General features: G+C 54.6%; 1 protein-coding gene across 48 annotated transcripts in view, besides 3 other annotated features; it reads right to left on the reverse strand.

Moving 5' to 3' along the window:
- The window catches only part of TSNARE1 (t-SNARE domain containing 1), a 194,950-nt gene that overhangs the window by 111,699 nt on the left and 67,702 nt on the right, over nt 1-15,549 (reverse strand). For 45 of the 48 annotated variants that reach the window (XR_007060718.1, XR_007060717.1, NM_001366901.1 and 42 more), the window contains 2 exons: nt 7,976-8,053; nt 7,123-7,192 (listed from right to left, as the gene is read on the reverse strand). Coding sequence is in view for 46 of the 48 variants with exons in the window: in NM_001366901.1 (NP_001353830.1) it covers nt 7,123-7,192; nt 7,976-8,053 (148 nt within the window). In the remaining 2 variants the exon portion in view is untranslated. The other 3 variants (XM_047421490.1, XM_047421489.1, XM_011516924.2) reach the window with 2 other exon arrangements.
- Nucleotides 2,191-2,390: an enhancer, noted in NCBI's record as "active region_28058". NCBI's record gives its function as "activates an Ori minimal core promoter by ATAC-STARR-seq in GM12878 lymphoblastoid cells {active_cell/tissue: GM12878}" and the evidence as "EXISTENCE:reporter gene assay evidence [ECO:0000049][PMID:35858748]".
- Nucleotides 2,701-2,840: an enhancer, noted in NCBI's record as "active region_28059". NCBI's record gives its function as "activates an Ori minimal core promoter by ATAC-STARR-seq in GM12878 lymphoblastoid cells {active_cell/tissue: GM12878}" and the evidence as "EXISTENCE:reporter gene assay evidence [ECO:0000049][PMID:35858748]".
- Nucleotides 14,231-14,933: an enhancer, noted in NCBI's record as "H3K4me1 hESC enhancer chr8:143419370-143420072 (GRCh37/hg19 assembly coordinates)". NCBI's record gives its function as "activates a minimal SCP1, AML or CMV promoter by ChIP-STARR-seq in naive H9 embryonic stem cells {active_cell/tissue: H9 hESC(naive)}" and the evidence as "EXISTENCE:reporter gene assay evidence [ECO:0000049][PMID:30033119]".

Consider the following 15,549-nt stretch of genomic DNA (forward strand, 5'->3'; position numbering starts at 1 on the left):
GCCACAACAACAAATAGAGTGCCCCTCCCGCTTGTGTCTCACTTCCCCATCCATCCTCACGGCCACCGAGGGAGGGGTCCCACTCCATCACCATAGCATGCATGGCTTGGGGAACAGCAGTGGATCCAGTGCAGGGAGATGGATGAGACTGCACCTGTCTTATGACCCCAACACCAGCGAGGCCCATGTCAGTGAACCTGTGACCCTCACCCGCCCTGGACTGCTTCAGCCAGGAGCCAAGTGAGGCAGAGAAGGCTGGAAACGCTAGCTGTACATTGAGAGAGCGGGCCCATCTCTCCACATTCAATGTGGGATACAGATGCAATGCCCGGAACCATAAGACCCATTTGTCACCTCAAGAGAAGCTGGCCTGAGATTGAATCTGATGCATCAGCAGAGCCAAAAGAAACCAAGTGAACTGGAGCCTTCATCAAACTGCACCTGAAGCCCCACGACCGCTTTACAAAACCCATGTATCCCCACAAAGCCAGCTCTGCACAGTTTTGGTGAAAGGCCAGGCAGGCGGCTACAGGGTCCAGGAAACCTGACCCAAGCATCCCTCTCCCAGCACTCCTGTGCGAGGTCTGCACAGCTGCCAGCTCGGCGGCTCCTGTACTACCAGCCAGGTGGTGCCGTTGCTGCCAGCAGTCAGGTGACTGAGGAGTCTGCGAGGCCTGCCTGGGGGGTGTGTCACCTGAGGCCCATTTGCCCTAGCGCCCTGCCCTAGTCTGCCGGGGCCAGAACCGACCTGAGTACGGAGGCTCTCGCATTTGCTTGTCATTACTTAAGATGCCGTTTAGAAGCACCTCATGTCCCGCGTATCTCATACCTGCTCATTTACTCCCATGACCACCTGTGTTTTACAGACGAAGACACAAGGCCCTGAGTCACAAAAGCACCTGCAGGCTGGAGCTGGTGAGCTGGAGTGGGCAGAGGTAGGGTCAGGACCAGCCCAGGCTCCCTGGCACCGGGTCCCGAGCTCTCCCAGCCTCCATGCCAGCTTCCAGGTGACACACTCGCCCTGGAAGGCACCCTGCTGCCCACTCCAGACTCGAGTGGTTAATCGGCGCTCCCGCCCCTCTGTCCGTGTTCCTAGTGACTGCGACGCCCCTGCCGGTCCCTCGGCTGAGGGGGCTGTGGGAAGAGCCTGTGGCTGGGCTGGTTTGATTTCCTGGTTCCTGCCCTTTCCCAGTAGGTACACTGCCCCGTCCTAGACCTGGCAACACCCCAGGAGTGACTCCATGTAGACCACGGCCCAGTTTCATGAGCAGGTGATGCCCAAGTCAACACAACGCAGTGGTGTTGGTGCACAGACCCAGGGACCGCCCACGGTGGAGGAGGTGGCCAGGGCGAGTGGGCCGGCAAGGCCTGGACTGAGCGGGCCTGGAAGTGAGGCCGGCAGAGGGCAGCGCGGGCAGAAGCCTGAGGCCGTGGGACTGGAGGGGGTGGTGTGGCCCATGAGACAGGTCTACAGTTGTCAGGGTCATGCTGGGCGGACCTGAAAGGCCACAACACAGACTCTGGGTTTTACTTTACAGGGAGGGAGGCCAGTGGAACATCCTGAGCAGGAACTGATGTGATCAGATCCACATTTTTAAAGATCGCTTTGAGCTCTGCATGGACAATCCACCGTCGGGGGCAAGACTAGGGGTGGGGAGGCCAAGAGGAGACAGTGCAGGAGCCCAGGGGCCAAGGCCGGGCCTGGACCAGGAGGTGGAGAGGAGGTGAGAAGTGCGTGGACACGGGGCAGCTCAAGAGGAGTGGACAGGCCAGCCCACGACCGGTGAGGGCAGGGTGGCGTGGGGTCCTGGAGGTCCCTTCCTTGGCCTGGGACTAACAGGGAGACCCCAGGTCAGTCCAGAAGGACCCTAAGTTAGCAGGAGAGAAGGTGGCAGGGCTGGAGGGACACCTGGGGTTCTGGGGCCCCACTGAGGAGGGATTCCGAGCTGCGGGATATGCAACACCACCAAGGGAGGGGAGGAGGTCAGAGAGGAAAAGAGGCTGGAGTAGATGGATGACGAACCAGCACCAACGAAGACCAGGGCCCTGGAGAGCATGAGAGGGATGAGGAACCAGCACCAGTGAAGGGGAGGGGCCCCAGAGAGCACGAGACGGATGACGAACCAGCACCAGCGAAGGGGAGGGCCCCGGAGAGCACGAGACGGATGACGAACCAGCACCAGCGAAGGGGAGGGCCCCGGAGGGCATGAGACAGATGAGGAACCAGCACCAGCGAAGGGGAGGGCCCTGGAGAGCATGAGACGGATGACGAACCAGCACCAGTGAAGGCCCCGGAGAGCACGAGACGGATGACGAACCAGCACCAGCGAAGGGGAGGGCCCCGGAGACCACGAGACAGATGAGGAACCAGCACCAGCTAAGGGGAGGGCCCCGGAGAGCACGAGACGGATGAGGAACCAGCACCAGCGAAGGGGAGGGCCCTGGAGAGCATGAGACGGATGAGGAACCAGCACCAGCGAAGGGGAGGGCCCCGGAGACCACGAGACGGATGACGAACCAGCACCAACGAAGGGGAGGGCCCCAGAGACCACGAGACAGATGAGGAACCAGCATCAGCGAAGGGGAGGGCCCCAGAGAGCACGAGACGGATGAGGAACCAGCACCAGCGAAGGGGAGGGCCCCGGAGACCATGAGACGGATGACGAACCAGCACCAGCGAAGGGGAGGGCCCCGGAGGGCATGAGACAGATGAGGAACCAGCACCAGCGAAGGGGAGGGCCCCGGAGAGCACGAGACAGATGAGGAACCAGCACCAGCGAAGGGGAGGGCCCCGGAGAGCACGAGACAGATGAGGAACCAGCACCAGCGAAGGGGAGGGGCCCCGGAGAGCATGAGACGGATGAGGAACCAGCACCAGCGAAGGGGAGGGCCCCAGAGAGCACGAGACGGATGAGGAACCAGCACCAGTAAAGGCCCTGGAGAGCATGGGCTGCACAGCAGGAGGAAACTTCTAGAAGGAATCAACTCAACAGTAAAAAGAAAAATACCCGATCAGGACATGGGCAAAGGATCTGAATAGACATTCCTTCCAAGAAGATATACAAATGGCTAACAAGCAGATGAAAAGATGCTTGAAGCCTTCAATTACCAGGAAAATACAAATGAGATCACCACAAGACCCCACTTCGCACCCACTAGGATAGCCACATCCAAAAGACATATAACAACAAGTGCTGGCAGTGAGGTGGGGAGACAGGAACCCTCCAACACTGCTGGCGGGGGTGTAAAATGGGGCAGCTGCTTTGGAAAGTCTGGCAGTTCCTCAAAGGATTACACAAAGAGCCACCGTATAACCCAGCAAGTCCAGTCCTGGGGATATATCCAAGACAGGTGAAAATCTACACCCACGCAAACACCTACCGCAAACATTCACCGCAGCTTTATTCATCATGGTCAAAATGAAGTCACCCAAATGCCCACCAGCTGGTGAATGGGTCTGTCCTTACAGTGAGACAGAGGGGTGCAGTTCTGCACAAGCTGGTGAATAGGTCTGTCCTCACAGTGGGACAGAGAGGGGGCGGTTCTATATCAGCTGGCGAATGGGTCCGTCCTTACAGTGGGAGAGGGGCACAGCTCTGTACCAGCCGGCGAATGGGTGTGTCCTCACAGTGGGACTGAGGGGCACGGTTCTGCACAAGCTGGTGAATGGGTCCATCCTTACAGAGGGACAGAGGGGTGCAATTCTGCACCAGCTGGCAAATGGGTCTGTCCCTACATATGGAGGGTACTGTGAGCCCTCTCTGGCCCCCTCACAGAGCCCTCCATCGGGCACTCCGGGAGGTCAGCTCTTCACACCCTGCTGGCCACCCCTCTGCCACAGGGACTTGCCTTCAATCAAGTGGGATGGGATGAACCGCACACATGGATCATGGTCCTGCCCTGCTTAAGCTCTCACTGCAGGAGGCGGGGCTGTTAGGACTACGCCCATGAAAGAGCTGCCAAGCGAGGGCCCACGGTGCTCAACAATCGTCATCCAAGGCTCCTTGAGCCCTTCTGGTGCTGATTCTGACACGCAAGTCCCGGGCCAGGAAGGAGAGCACACCTCACGCGGAGCAGCAGCCCAGCTCACCCAGACCCCACTGCCATCGCTGCATGCTGGGCAGTGGGCCAGCAGCCTCTCAGCAGCCACCTCTAATGCATCCCCACCAGGGCCACCCAACCTACACCCTCACCACACTGGGGAGGTGAGAGGGAGGCATCGCTGCATGCCCCAGGCAGATCAGAGAACACAGCCCATGGGAACAAGTCCAAAAGCCCCAAGGGGAGCGGGTCCTCTGTGCCACTGTGGAAAGTAAAAAATGTCCTCTTCAAAGTTTCCCTTCTTACTAAAGAATATATCATAGGTGTTAGAAATAATAGTTTTTTAAAAAAAAAAACTAACTTCCTTCAAGCCTCCTTGCTTTTATACTAATAACTCTTTGTTAAGCCCTATCCTATGTAGCTGTTAGATATAAGGGAGTAAGTACATCCTATGTCCTTGTACTTTAATCAAGGTATTTGTTCTAAACATGCTCAAGCATGTCCCAGCTCACAGCCTACGTGCCCTCCTTATTTGGAAATGTCATTACTTTTCTAAGTTCTTTCGCAAGCAACTTCCTCTTTTCCTTTTGTTCTCCATTACCTTTACCTGTTCAGGAAAGTTTTAAGTTGTTAGCCAATCAGGTCTAAAGGACCCAATGCGTAAGGGATAAATATTCTTGCCTTTCTTTGTTCAATTGTGCTCTCGTGGCAGGAGTGCTAACAGGCAGCACCCCTTCTGCAGAAAGTAAAATTGCCTTGCTGAGAAAATTATTTGAGCGCTAGTTCTTCTTTTCGGCATCAAGGAATGAGCATTTCTGACAGCCACACACCAGGGGTGCGCCAGCCCACACACCATCTCCAGATCGTGACGGCCCCCAGGGTGGAAGGGAATAGAGCCCAGACAGAAGTGCGTGAGCTGAGCTGCCACTGAGCCCCGCCCATGGGATCGCAACGTGGCCACTGGACTCCAGCGTGGGGGTCTGTGACAGGGAGGCCTTTGGGGGGGGGGAGGGTTCCGCACACAGGTGACAGAAATGACCTGGCCACACTGGCCTTGCATGGGATCAGAGAAATGGGCCCCACCTGGTGAGGTTTTTCTGAAGCTGAATGTATTCGGGTGGAAGGACCACCCTTCCTCCTGAGACTGGGTCCCTCCTACACTGCAGGGCTGGAAAGCCTTTTCCCTGACGAAATGATGGCGGCCGTGGATGAAGGTATATTCTTTAAATGTCCTTAGTTGGCAACTTCGTCAATGTGGAGGAAATATAGAACTGGCAACCACGTTGGTCTCAAAAGTTATTTTTAAATGTTAACAGTCCATGATATGGGAGCATCAGAGGGGCCACAGAAGGCTCTAGATAAGCCATGCCAAGCAGGCTAGACCCACAGCTGGCCATGCAGGGAGGGTCAGAAAAGCACTAAGGCGAGTTTCCAGACCTAAGAGCTAAGGCCGGCCCAGGGGAGAGCCAAGGTGCCGGGATACTCGGTCCTCAGACCAGGACAGTCTCCTACTCCACGCTGGGGTCCCCTCTCCTCTCCGAGGCCCACAGCGGGTGGTGTCGGTCTTCAGCTAACCAGGCCGGGCGGCCCAGGATGCGCACATGAGGGCCAGGGTCCGGACGTGCCCATCCCACCTGGCCCTCGTGACCTAACCCAGGAGTGGGCCAGTGGCACTAAGATCTAAGCACAGCAGCTTCACTGGGAACCTGCCCACCACACTGAAGAGACGGGAGAGCCACAGACCCGGCCCAGAGTTACACAAGTTATCTGCATCAACAGGGCCCTCTGAGAGGCCACACGTTTCCTGAGCCCGAGCACCCCAGAGCCCAGGTGTGACCAGCAGGTCCACAGTCCCTCACTGAGGTCTGACCGTGCAAATACGCGTGGGTGTGAGGAAGGCTGGAGGGAACACCGACATGCTAACAGCAGCTCCCAGGCATCCTGCGTCCAAATTCCCTATCATGAGCCTACGTCACTGTCACATCAGAAAACACTTAAGTTTCAGTTTTATAAAAGAGCTTAAAAAAAAAGGCTAAGAATAGAACTGCCCTGAACATCTGCAAAGGGTGCTCCGCAGCTGGTGCGTGAGGCTGTGTGGCAGGCGCCTGCGGATTTTGAACGGAGCCGCCGTGAGGAGGAGCAGAGACTCCAGCACCCTCCACCCTTGTGGGAGCCGTGGCCCTCCCGGCCTCCTCAGTTCTGGCCCTTTCAGGGTGCAAGGCTGGTGTGGCCACCAGTTCTGCACAGGGGAGTGCGAGGACAACGTCCCAGTGCAGTGGCCTGGGGCTGGCTGGGGTCCTTGGAGCTGCGGGCATCCCGCTCACTGCAGGGCGGGACACAGGCCAGCACAGGAGGTCACAGCAGCAAGTGCAGTGGGGGCCAGCTGGAGGGGAAAAGTATAGACTGCTAGCGTCCCCTCAGACCCCAGAGTGCCACTCTAACCACACCCAGGGCAGGTGCTCCCTTCCCCCCGCTCCCCAGCCCAGCCAGGGCTCAGACTTAGCAGACAGCACCCGAGGCACCTCTCCCCATCCCAGACCAGCCCAACCCAGGGCAGGCCACTGGGCACCCCTCAAGGAAAGTCCAGTGGGAGCCCGCCAAGGCTCAACTCCCCGAAAGGGCAGAAGCAAGATCGGACGCCCCACTCCAACCTAGCCCATGGCTGTGCAAATGGTACATCTGTGTCACCTCCTGTGTCCATAGCTGAGCAGGCCCCAACAGGGAGCCTTCAGACATGACAAAGACACATTTGGAGCATGTTGGCAGGGAAAAGCGTGTGCCAGCAGGCATGCACCCCCTGACCTTAGCACACAGGTGCACCTGGGCTTCTACGTCGGGGCGGGGTGCACCTGTGTGCCCTGTGGAGGGCACCTGCAGGCTGAGGGCCCAGTCTCAGGTTCACAGCACTGACTAGGCTTATCCGCAGGCGTGTGTGCATATGTGCGCACATGTGTGTCCAGGCAGCTGTGCGCAAGCAGCTGTGTGGACAAAGCCCGTGTGCACAGGAGGACCACACTCCCGCCCCTGCCCCCCAATGTGCACCACGCCCAGGCAAAGAGATACCATGGCCCACACACTCACAGGCTGTCCCGAAGCTCCTGCGTGTCACTCGGTGTCCCTAAGGACTGAAGGCTCCGCTCCAAGGAGGTCACTGCCCGAGAGAAGAGGGACAGGGTGAGGGCAGAAGGAGCTTCCCTGCCCCCTGCTACTCCATATGGGTGGCCCCACTGCAGCCCGGGCAGGGTGAGCAGAGCCCAGGGACCAGTGCTTGAGCCAGGGCAGACCACCTAAGTGGCCTGGAGGCCAGGGTCCACACTGCCTCAGCATAAGGTCACGCCCGCCAGAACCCCTCCCCAGCTGGCCTGCAACAGGTGCTCAGGCCCACATGCAGCTCAGGGGCTCTGAGGAGCTGCCTCCAGCAGTCTTGCCCTGGCTCTGGGGACAGCTTCTCTCCACCCTGCTCCCCTCACCCCATCCGTTGCCCCTCCCCTGGCCGTGGCTCTCATCCCTGCTCTCAGTCTCAGTGACCTCTGGTCTGCACGTCTGAGAGGCCCTGGGATGCTCCTTCCTCCACTGGGCTCCATCCAGATCACACAAAAGGTGTCAAGAAGGAGCAGCATGGGGTCAGGGAGAGGAGCCAGCAGCGGGCAGGGGGCAGCAGGCAGGAGCAGCCAGCGGGAGCGGTACCCGGCCCTGACCCAGCCCTTGCTCCTTCCCACCCATGAAACCCGGGACTGCACTGCAGGACGGCCTGACGGGGGAAGCCATCCAGCACCCTCGCATCCAACGTCGCATCAGTGGACCCACGAAACCCGGGACTGCACCGCAGGATGGCCTGAGGGGGGAAGCCATCCAGCACCCTCGCCTCCAATGTCGCATCAGTGGTCCAGGGTGCCTGGATGGAGGGGCAGGCCCAGGCCAGACGCACACTCACCACTGGAGTTGATTCGGAAGACGTTGGCCGACATCTCCTGGAACAGCTCCTGGAGGTTGCACGGATCGACCTGGGTGGCTGGGAGAAGACAGGGAGGAGGAAAGAACACAGGCTAAGGGTGAAGCCTGCAGGCCCAGCTCTGCTAACCGCTCTGGGCAGCCCCCAGGGGCAGGGACCCGACAGGCAGCAGAGTGGCCCTGAACCCCCTCACTGCCTTTGCGGCTTGGCCACCCTGGAGTCAGTGCTGGACACCCGCACCTGCCTTCACAGTACCTTCAAGCTGGAAGGAAGGAGAGACGAAGGCAGGGGGTGGTCCCTCAGAAAGGCAGCACCCTGAGTTTCCATACACCGCAGCAGCTGGCGTGTGTGCCCGGAAGCTACGAGCACCTGCACGTGGAGGCTCAGAGCAGCATCACTAAGAGTCAAAGCACAGCCCCGCTGATGAAGCAACAGAAACAAGGTCCAGCTCTGCACCGGCAGCTCAGCATTGGAAACAGAAACACTGGTTTCCGCACAATGCAGGTGAGCCCTGAGCACAGCACGCACAGAGATGAAAGCCAGCAGGAAAAGGCCACACGCCGCACGGTTCCACACATCTACCATGTCAGAACAGACCAATCCTAGGACAGAGCCAGGGCAGGGGCAGTGAGAGGGAGGAATGGGCATGACTGCTGATGGGTACGGGGGTGCTTTTGGGGGTGATGGAAACATTTTAGAATTAGTGGTGATTATAGAATGCTGAATATTCTAACAGACACTGAGCTATATGCTTTAATATGGATAAGATGGTGAATTCTGAGTGACTAAGTTTTATCTCAATTTTTAAAAATCTACAGAACACTATGAGGACAGCAAGTCCTCATGAGGACATGGTGGATGGAACGCTCGCCCGCTGCATGGTGAGGATAAACGGCACGGCCACCATGGGAAGGGTCTGCAGGCTGCACACACTCGCCCTCTGTCCACCCCTCAGTCAGCATCTTGGGCATTTACACAGAGGAGCAGAGCACACATCAAAGCACATGGAAACACTCGCTGCCTGCCCGCCCTCCAGCCAGCAGTCCCAGGGTTTACACAGAGGAGCAGAGCGCACATCCAGAGAAGCTCCTGAAGAGCACTCCCAGCTCCCAGCAGCTTGATTGCTACCAGCCCACACCCGGAGAGAGGGCTGGTGTCCAAGAGATACCGGGGAAGGGACAGCCACACGGGGCCTGTGTGCAAGGAAACTCCAGGCACGCAACACAGTGAATCTCAGAAACACTGTTCAGAAACCAGAGCGAACGGGGCGAAGGTCGAGAACGACCAAGGCAATCCCCGGGGCCTCTGGGCCAGGCTGGGGAACTGGGGCAGGGCCGGAGGGACCCTCCTGGGTGAGGGCCTGCCCTGTGCCTGGACAGAGCTGTGGGTTACACATCTGTCACAACGCCCAGGATGGCACACTTAGGAGCTGTGCAGTTCACTGTACATAAATGAAAGAAAAGTGAACGGCAAGTAAAGCAGCGTTCAGAAGGAAGCACGGGGGGCCGAGCTCGCTCCGAAACGCATGCAGGTGGAGGCACTAAAGGTCGATTAAACCAGGTAGAGACTCCAGGCTCGCATTCAGGTGGCAGCTACGTGGGTGTCGGTGCAGTTCTTTCAACTTTCTCTGCAAGTTTACAATTTTCCATATTAAAATTTTTAAATAAAAGAACGTGGTTTGAGGTCTACAAACAGGTGTGAGGGCTAGAAGATGCTAGGGGTGCCGAGGGGACCCTCCCAACACCAATCCTGTCTGGGCTGCCCTGAGGTGGCCCGGCATGAAGGGACACAGCACCCCTGGCTGGATATCTGGGTTTCCACCAGGACAAGGCCCAAGCCCAGCTCTGCTTGGGGTTTCTGAGCTGCCTGGCCAGGGCAGAGCTGACCCTGGCACTCCATCTGGGTGCACACAGGCCTGTCCACGTATGCTCTGTGCACCCCTGGCTCCCCAGCAAGTCCTGGCCCCCTGCACACTTTCCGTCCAGCTACCTCCACCTTGCCCCAGTCCCAGGCCTCCCGGTCCAGCAGCCGCACTCATGGCAAGGCCTGGAGAAAGGAGGAACTGCCAGGCGGCCTCCAGGAAGGCAAGGCCTGAGGGACGGCCCCCCATCACCCAGCACCCACCACCCCTCGATGTCACCATGGCCCAGCCTAGCAAGGTCAAGCCAGGGCCTCAGTTGCATTAGTAGAACAACGAGAATGAGGATGAGTTAAATCAAGTTTAGCCTAAAGGCGCCTCCTTACATATTTTCAGTTCAGCCTAAAGGTTTATCTGTACATCTTGAGCTATGACAACAGGGAGTGTAAATGGACCATGGTCTATACTTGTGCCAATCACTGAATTTTGGCCAAACAAAGCCAACTGCTGGAACTGTGTTCAAATAAGGCAAATGCCAAGCTGTAACTGATCTGTTTCCATGCCTCACTACCATTTTCTGTATGTCACTTTCCTTTTGCTGTCCAAAATCTTCTACCCCATGGCTGTGCTGGAGTCTCTGAGCCTACTCTGGTTCGGGAGGCTGCCCAATTCATGAATTGTTCACTGCTTAACTAAACTCCTTTAAATTTATTTCAGCTCAAGTTTTTCTTTTATCATGGAACAAGCTCTGACAGGAGCACAAGAACCTATCCCAGGGCCCAGGATCACTCTCCCCATTCACAGGTGGGCAGGTGACCTGCTCAAGGTCACAGGCCAGTAAGTGGCACACACAGGGTGGGGGGGCAGCAGGGGGGACGGGACACAAAACAAACAAAAAGAATTGCCAGAAATAATGACCAAAAGTACCCAAATTTTATGAAACTATAAACTCGGAGATTCAAAAATTTCACCAATCCACAAGCAGAATAAATACATATTTTTTAAATCCAAGGTACATTATAGGCAAACTGCAGAAAAACAGTGATAAAGAAACCTGAAAAGTGGCCCGGAGAAAAAACTGCACATTTCATGAGGAAGAAAAAACATAAGAAGGACTTGATCCTTTCGTCAGAAACTGTGGAAGCTGAAAGACAATGGAAGGATGTCTTTAAAGTGCTGGACGGAAAAACCTGCAACTAGAATTCTACACCCACTGGAAACAGATTTCAAACACAGGGGCAGATTTTGACAAGCAAAAGTGAAAAGGATCGGTTCCAACCAGATGTGAAGTACAGGAAATGTTAGAAGCAGCTAGTTAGGGTGAAAGTAACAGCAAGAAACCTGGATCTCCCTGAAGAATTAAAGAACGCCAGAATGGTAAATAGAAAAAAGATACGTTCATTTATTTAAAACACTATCGATTGTAAAAGCAAAATCCGTAACTATGTGCCGGGGTCATCATGTGTTATAAATGACGTGTGGTCCTGAATGTACTGAAACCACATCAACGAGGCAGGGTTATCATGTGTTATAAATGACATGTGATCTTCAATGTACTGAAACCACCTCAACGAGGCGGGGTCATCAGATGTTATAAATGACATGTGATCCTGAATGTACTGAAACCATGTCAACGAGGCAGGGTCATCATGTTATAAATGACCCGTGGTCCTGAATGTATTGAAACCACGTCAACAAGGTGGGGTCACCATGTGTTATAAATGACGTGTGGTCCTGAATGTACTGAAACCACATCAATGAGGCGGGCGTGGGACACAGAAGTGCATTCCTGTGTGGCCGATCCACCACACAGGACATGATACGGTGCTACTTGAAGGCGGGCTGCGGAAAGTTAAAGATCTATGCTGTAAACTCTAAAGCAACCACTAAAAAAAGAAACAAACAGGAATCTCTCATAAGCCCTTAGTGGAGATAAAATGGAATGCTAAATAGCACTCAATTCTACTCCAAAAAAAAAGGAAGGAAGAGAAAGAAAATAAAAAGGGGGAAAAAAAGGAAATATAGAAAGCAAACATCAAGACAGTAGAGTTAAAGCCAACATGAAGGCCTTACACTTAATGATGCATGAGCCGAAGACGGCTCGTCCACTCCAGTAGCCATCAACCCCTTGCGGCAATTTAAATGTAGATTTTAATTAATTAAAATTAAATAAAATGGTAAACTCGGTTGCTTCCTGCACTAGCCACATTTCAAGTGCCCAGGAGCCCCATGTGGCAAATGGCTGTCACGATGAAGAATGCAGATGACAGGGCCTTTCATCATTACCAAAAATCCTACTGGACAGAGGCACTGCTTTCACCATTCCCACCAAAAAGCAGAGCTTCTCCGATGAGAGTAAAAGCAAGATTCCGGCCAGGCGTGGCGGCTCATGCCTGTAATCCCAACACTTTCCGAGGCTAAGATAGGAGGATCACTTGAGCCTAGAAGTTCAAGATCAGCCTGGGCCACACAGTGAGATCTCTTTCTATAAAAAAATAAAAATTGGCCAGCTGTGGTGATGTACACCTGCAGTCTCAGCTACTTGAAATGCTGAGGTGGGAAGACTGCCTGAACCTGGGAGATCGAGGCTGCAGTGAGCCTTGATCACACCGCTACATTTTAGCATGGACAACAGAGCAAGAGACCCTGTCTCAAAAAAAAAAAAAAAAAAAAAAAAGGCAAGATCTTGCTCTACAGTATATACAAGAAGCCCACTTCATATATAAAATCAGATGAAATTATAAGTAAAAATTAGAAAAATATATCATGTAAACAGTAATCATAAGAAAGCTGGAATGGCTACACTAATATCAGAGTAGAATTCAGAACCACAAATATAATAGAAATAAAAGAAGGACACTTTCAAAACAGATGGTCAACTGACTAAGATAAAACAATTCTAAGTATGTATGCACCTAATGTCACAGCTTGAAAATACGTGAAGCAAAAACTGATAGAACTGGAAAGAAACACACAAATCCACAGTTACAGGCAGCGCGGTCAGCAGAGCAAGCAGACACAAGAGCATAGAGGCCACAGAAACTCCAACACCATCAACCAGCCTAACCCACGCAACAGGAGAATACACATTCCTGCCAAACGCACGTGGAACATTCACTAAGACAGACTCTATTTTAGGCCATAAAGCAAGTCTTGACATAGTTATAATCGCTGAAATCATACAAAATACATTCTCTGAAAAGAGAACTAGAAATCAGTAACAGAAAGTTATCTGTGAATGACATAATCATCTGAAATTACACAACACACTTCTAAATAATCATGTGTAACAGAAGAAATCAAAGAGAAATTAGGAAATAACTGAATGAAATAAAAACACAAGATATTAAAATGTGTATCAGTAAAGCAATGCATAGAGGGAAGTGTATAGCAATAAATACTTAGAAAAAAAAAGATCTCAAGTCAATAATCTGACAAAAGCATTAACCCAAAGTAAGCAGGAGAAAGAAATAATAAAGGTGAGCAGAAACCAATTAAATCAACATCAAATCAATAGAGAAAACTAATGATATCAACATCTGGACCTTTCAAATGATTAATAAAATCAATCGATTTACATGGGAATAATACTGAGATGATAAAATTATTCAGATCAAGATTAATTGATCTTGATCTTAATTAATTGGGCATATCTTTAAAAGTCACACCAACCCTACGGCCAGCAATTCAACTTGCAGGTAATAATCCCCCCACAACAAAATGCAAACATTTGTCCGTACAAAGATCCTACAGAAATGCTCACAGCCTCTTTCCGCCTAACAGCCAAAAGCTGGAGAACGCGAAAGCATCCATCGATAAGTGGAAACGCAGGCTGTGCTATGTCCAAAGACATGCCTGCCGCCCAGCAATAAAGCCAGGACTCGGCGCAACCGTGCTTTCTAGAAACGGCTGTTGAGTCACAGCATAACCTCAAGACTGAGGGAGCCGCGGGGAGTGCCGTCCTGTCACCAGGCAGGCTGTGGGGCCTCCTCCAAGCACTGCCTCTGCTACTGCTGGGGGTCCACGGTTACGAGGCAGGGGCTGCCTCATCCCACACCACCACGGCACTCCTGCGACACCGCAGCCCCACCAACCACAGCACAGGCCTCCTGCCGCTTCCAGCCCCGACTGGGCCAACTCATCACTACATGCAGGACGCCACATCCTGGTCTCAGGAAGCGCCCATTCCCACATATCCCACGGCTGCCGCTGGAGCACAGGTTTGTTGGGTCCGGGAACCCTCAGAGGGACGGCCACCCAGCTGAAGACCCTGGCTTCACAGGCCGTTAGCAACAATCCCATGACTCTGGCCGGGGACCTAAGGGAGGTCCAGAGAGGGCCCCCCTCATTCCCAGTCCTGTCCCCAACACCCATTCCCAGGAGAAGGAAGAAAAATTCATTTCCCAGATTCCATCTTCACACCATCTGAGCAACTTCACTAACACTCCATAAAACAAAACGAAACGTCAGCAGCGCTTATCAGGACTTCTCTCTGCCGTCCCCATCCCCACCCTCCAGTTCTGCTGTGAACAGGGATAACGGGACACCCTAAAACGCCAAAAGGCGGCAGGCACGCTCCCCACCAGTGCTGCGTCCCCCCACGTCTCACTGCAGGCCCCACTTACCTGCCCGCTGCAGACGAAGGCCTCTGATGAACACTCGGCCGTGTGTGGGATTACAAGGGTCTGGGTCCCCACCTGCTCTTCACTGAACCAGGTCTCAAGGCAATGCAGCCCCAGCACGAGGGGGTCCCCAGGGCAGGAGCTTGAGGAGGGCACCCACACAGCCACTCCACAGTGAGCACCGAGCCACCCTGGACACCCAACACCCACCACAAGCCTGCCTGGCTGCCTGGACCACTGGGCAAGCTGACAGGCTGCCTCGACCACTGGGCAAGCTGACAGGCTGCCTGGACCACTGGGCAAGCTGACAGGCTGCCTCGACCACTGGGCAAGCTGACAGGCTGCCTGGACCACTGGGCAAGCTGACAGGCTGCCAGGCTCTGCTGCCACCAGGCATGACACTGGCCAGGCAGTTCCCCAGTTGCCGGAGGGGATGAGCTGAAGGATGTGGCCCCGGCTCAGGTTCAGGCAGGAAAAAGCCCAGTCAAGACAGTGTGCAGCCTGACTTGGCTTGAGCTAGCGCTGGGTGCCTCACATGCAATGCTAACCCCGTCCCACGGCTGCAGACAGGGCATGGTGTGTGCCCGAGTCCATATGCAGTGGCCCCAGGGAAGGGAAGAATAGCCCAGGGCCGGCCCTCCCTCTGCCATCTGGGAGCCACCATACACTGGCCCTGCGGTGAGATGCCTTGGCCCTGCTACCCTGCACGTGAGCTGCTGCCAGATTCTGCTACCGTGACCTGGGCAGGGCACAAGTGGCCAGCCCACCTCCCACCCTGGGAGGACCCTTCTTGCCCACTCATCTGGTGATGGACAGACGTGAGGAAAGAGGTAGTAGGGACAGAGGTCTGAAGCCCCACTCTGGGCCTCTGCACATCCATGATGGTGCTTCAAAATCCACAGAGCACCACTAGGGGTCCTCAAGGAGAAACGGAGTACCCCAAAACCTTAGTGTGTGACTGACAAGGCTGATGATCACTTCCCCAGCTGGCCCTGGGCCAGCCCATGCCGAAGGAGCGAAGAATCGGATGCGGCTCAAAGCGAAGTTGACGTTGACTAAGCTGGGCAGCTACGTGA

Source organism: Homo sapiens, chromosome 8 (genome assembly GCF_000001405.40).
Source record: "Homo sapiens chromosome 8, GRCh38.p14 Primary Assembly".
Lineage (NCBI taxonomy): Eukaryota > Metazoa > Chordata > Mammalia > Primates > Hominidae > Homo > Homo sapiens.